Source organism: Homo sapiens, chromosome 1 (assembly GCF_000001405.40).
Source record: "Homo sapiens chromosome 1, GRCh38.p14 Primary Assembly".
Taxonomy (NCBI): domain Eukaryota; kingdom Metazoa; phylum Chordata; class Mammalia; order Primates; family Hominidae; genus Homo; species Homo sapiens.
Genome location: NC_000001.11, coordinates 52,891,208 through 52,895,909, shown reverse-complemented (window position 1 = coordinate 52,895,909; position 4,702 = coordinate 52,891,208). Strand labels below are relative to the sequence as shown.

Genomic DNA, 4,702 nt, shown 5'->3' with positions numbered 1-4,702 from the left:
CTTACAGTGTTTTCGTGAGGACCAAACGAAATCATCACTGTGAAACACTTTTGTAAACTACAGGGTGGCAGAAAATTCTTTTTATTTTTTGAGACAGGGTCTCACTCTGCCACCCAGGCTCCAGGCTAGAGTGCAGTGGCGCCATCTCAGGTCACTGCAGCCTCCACTTCCCAGGCTCAAGTGATCCTCCCACCTCAGCCTCTGGAGTAGCTGGGACTACAGGCAAATGCCACCATGCCCAGCTAATTTTTGTATTTTTTTGTAGAGACAGGATTTCGCCATATCACCCAGGCTGGTCTTGAACTATTGGGCTCAAGCAATCCGCCCGCCTGGGCCTCCCAAAGTGCTGGGATTACAGGTGTATGCCACTACACCTAGCCTCCAGGAGACTCTTTGATAGCATTTAGGAGCACTGAGAAGAAAGGGGCAATTAACTCTAATGGAAAGAAGGGAGGATCCGGAAATGGGCAACTAACATTGGAATTGAAGCCTGAAGGATTAAGGAACATTTCAAGTACAGAAGAGGAAGCTTGACACAGCATGAGCAAAGGTGAGGAAGAGGATGATACACTTAGAAAACCAAGAGCAGGCTGATACATAACCATACTGGTCCCAATACCCCTCCCTCCTCTGGTACCAAGGCTACATCTTAAGCTATGCCTTTGCAGTCATTCTCCAACTGGATCTGAGCGCTGGCTAAGCTGAGCCTCAGCCTGGCCTAGAGTCACTAAACCATGGGCATGGATACAATATAAATAACATTGCGGATTTCTGCAAAATACAAATGTGCTCCCAGGGTTATGCTTGCATCCTGGAAGGAAGAATAACACAGGAGAGCCCAGGCCTTTACAGTCAGCACAAACCACACCAGCTATGACAACCCAGGAAAGTAACCACCTTACTGAACTTCCTTTTTCTCATCTGTTAAGTGAGGAAAATAAAACTCACCTACCCGTGAGGATTGTTGTGAATGACACAGAACTTGAAAGGATGTCTTGTACAGAATTGGACTTAACACACTAGTTCCCCTAACACATCCTCACATTAGAATAAGCTAGCATCTGATAACAATGCTCTGAGGTACTAGAACCCAGGTCAGGAAGATATCCTTTTGGAATCATGCAAGAGTGTGAAAAAATACAGTACAGTTTAAGGACTATGGAAGGAAGTAAGGTTACAAATTCTGCTTATCTGGTTGGACTCTGGTAATAGTTTGGAACATGGTTTAGAGTAAGAGAATGAGCTTCTTCCTCATTTGATTTCCAAAGACAGTACATGGTACTCTAGTTAAGAATCTGAACCAAGCCAGCCAAAAGCACAAAAATCTAATCCTAAAATGTGCTAACAGAAATTTACTTTTATTTTCTGAAAAACTTAAACAGATAAATGACAAAACATGTTCATTAACAGTCAACAATAAGGCAAGGAAGGAATTCACACTATTCCTCAGAGCAGCTCCGCAAGGCTTATCAAGTAAGCTTCTGATATAGTTTATACTGTAGTTGAAGCTGGTTTCAGAAAAGCCCATGTTTTCTTTAGTCAGCATGCGGGGTAAGAAAACTCCGTGAACTCTCTGGCAAAGTCTCTTTCTGGCCTTTCGTCTTCCTACCATTTTTGGTCATGGTTCCACCCAAATAAAATGGAGGGATTCAGATTTATCATTACATGTAATCTTTCATCTAAACACTGTCTGCAAATGCCTAAGTCCCACCACGCCCTACAAGCTCACTCACATACACAGCATGTCATGCTCACATAACAGGAAACATGCCAAAGATAGACACCCAAAATTGTAAAAAGGCCAGGTGCAGTGACTCACACCTGTAATCCCAGCACTTTGGGAGGCCGAGACGGGTGGATCACGAGGTCAGGAGGTCGAGACCAGCCTGACCAATATGGTGAAACCCTGTCTCTACTAAAAAATACAAAAATTAGCCGGGCGTGGCGGCATGTGCCTGTAGTCCCAGCTACTCAGGAGGCTGAGGCAGGAGAATTGCTGGAACCTGGGAGGCAGAGGTTGCAGTGAGCCGAGATTGTGCCACTGCACTCCAGCCTGGGCGACAGAGCGAGATTCCGTCACAAAAAAAAAAAAAAAAAAAAAGGTAAAAAAATATATTTCTCTTTTCTCCACCCCTCTATTCATTTGAGATGAGGTCTCACTCTGTCATCCAGGCTGGAGTGCAGTGGTGCAATCTCAGCTCACTGCAACCTCTGCCTCCTGGGCTCAAGTGGTCCTCCCACCTCAGCCTCCAAGTAGCTAGGAGTAAAGGTGCACACCACCACGCTCAGCTAATTTTTGTATTTTTTGGTAGAGACGGAGTTTTACCACGTTGGCAAGGCTGATCTCGAACTCCTGAGTTCAGACAATCCACCTGCCTTGGCCTCCCAAAGTGCTGGGATTACAGGCGTGAGCCACCATACCCAGCCATAGATAAATAAATAAATAAATAAATTCTTTTCCCCGCTCTCCAACAGGGGTTCTGCCTTCTAAACACTACATTTTGAAGCATATGCTTCCCAAGCTTTTCTCATAGCTTCACATGACGATAACAACAAAGGAAATTTAATATAAATATCAAAGTCTCCCTGTAGGTTTCCTTTCTCTTCTAGTGAACAGGTCCCACTCCCATGACAAGCTCCCAAAGGGAAAAAATTGTCCAAGGCTAGAGAAAAGTAACTTGCATAGCTGTTCCAACACAAGCTCCCAGGCCTTCCCAGAGTCCACGGTTTGAGTCTTCAAAATTGCTGCTGAAAGGCTGCAGAATGAGTCCAACTTGACTTGGGATTACAGCTATCATACAAATCCAACCTTTTGTAACATATATAAAATCAACAATCAAAGGCCAATGAGACAGCCAACTCACAAACTCCAATGACAACTGATGTGCAATTACTGCCAGGGCAGAACACCTGACATTGAGGAAGAGCACACACCTCTGAAATTCCTTAGGTTCAGAAGGGCATTTGACACAGAGTGGGCCTCTGATAATTCATGAAATGCATTCTGAAGTCATCCAGAATGGAGGCTGCAATCTGCTGTGCTTTGGGGGTTGCCTCACTGTGCTCCTGGATATCACACAAAAGCTGCAATCCTTCTTCTTCAACTAACATTTTGCAGTATTTGCTGGCTGAAAGAAAATCAAGCAGAGACACTCCATGGACAACTGGCATTTTAAATACTCCCATGTCACCACATTCACCTTGCTGAAGAAACAATACAAAGGTTTAAGCTCTTTGGCCTAGGAATTAACAGATAAAATGAGTCAATTCTAAAGCAGTTCTTCAAAACTTGCTTGGCTTGTATGAGGTAACAGATGCTCATTTTAGTATGTTTACTTCCAGACAACTCTATGCTTCAAACATCTTTTTCTTTTTTTTTTTGAGACAGAGTTTTGCTCTTGTTGCCCAGGCTGGAGTGCAGTGGCGCAATCTCGGTTCACTGCAACCTCCACCTCCCGGGCTCAAGCAATTCTCCTGCCTCCGCCTCCCAAGTAGCTGGGATTACAGGCATGCCCCACCACGCCCGGCTAATTTTTTTGTATTTTTAGTAGAGACGGAGTTTCACCGTGTTAGCCAGGATGGTCTCGATCTCCTGACCTCATGATCCGCCCGCCTCGGCCTCCCAAAGTGCTGGGATTACAGGCGTGAGCCACCATGCCTGGCCCAAACATCTTTAATCCTAGTTAAATGATGTTGAAAACCCCCAGATGTGGCTGGGCGCAGTGGCTCACGCCTGTAATCCCAGCACTTTGGGAGGCCGAGGCGGGCGGATCATGAGGTCAGGAGATCGAGACCATCCTGGCTAACACGGTGAAACCCCGTCTCTACTAAAAATACAAAAAAATTAGCTGGGCGTGGTCGTGGGCACCTGTAGTCCCAGCTACTCGGGAGGCTGAGGCAGGAGAATGGCGTGAACCTGGGAGGTGAGCTTGCAGTGAGCCGAGATCACGCCACTGCACTCCAGCCTGGGCGACAGAGCGAGACTCTGTCTCAAAATAAAAAACACCAGATGTTAAATAAAATATAATTCACAAATTTTTTAATGCATAGATGAATGTACAAACTAAAGGAATTTTCCAGGAGCTGGAAACAAAGAGCACTTCAGCTAGTGTAAGCTAACCTGCAGCTTAGCCTGCGGCAGAAAGAAACTGGCGGTCTTAGTAATTGAGGCATTTCAATTTCAGCTTGCAGAGTTGGAGGCAATATTCCTACATAAAAGTAGACCCACAAAGGGCTAGATAAGAAAAGGGATAAGATACTGAAGCATCTCTGTCATGGATGGGGCTGTAGGGGTATACGGGAGTAGGAGAGGAGAAATCTTCTCATGACCACAATCCCAAGTGGGTAATAAGGTTTGAGTTTACACTACCTGAATATTGCTGAGAAATTAATATAAAAAAACGAGCACAAGCCTATGGAAACCTCTGGAGCACTTCACAGAAGCGAATACAAAACCGCCTCAGGGACACGCCAATCCATTCTAAAATGAATTCTCAGAAAAATAAGCCCTGCTAAAGTTGACTTCACAATCCAAAACTGCCCCCACTCAACATAACACACATAATAAGATCAGATAAAGACCACAAAATAATTACTTTTAAAGAAGAAAAAAAATAGGAATATCTGGAAAAGAAGCAAATAAAAAGTTCAGACATTTAAAAATGTATCACTGAAATTAAAGACAGTCCAAGAGCAGATTTAG

The 4,702-nt window shown here is 44.5% G+C and overlaps 1 protein-coding gene across 6 annotated transcripts in view; it reads right to left on the bottom strand.

Annotated features, from left to right (window-relative positions):
- Window positions 1-911: 911 nt before the first annotated feature.
- ZYG11A (zyg-11 family member A, cell cycle regulator) overlaps window positions 912-4,702 on the bottom strand; it is a 52,239-nt gene continuing 48,448 nt past the window's right edge. For all 6 annotated transcript variants that reach the window (NM_001004339.3, XM_011541482.4, XM_011541480.4 and 3 more), the window contains one exon: window positions 912-3,128. In NM_001004339.3, coding sequence (NP_001004339.2) covers window positions 2,953-3,128 — 176 coding nt within the window. In that variant the 3' untranslated portion in view covers window positions 912-2,952. The remainder of the gene's footprint in view (window positions 3,129-4,702) is intronic.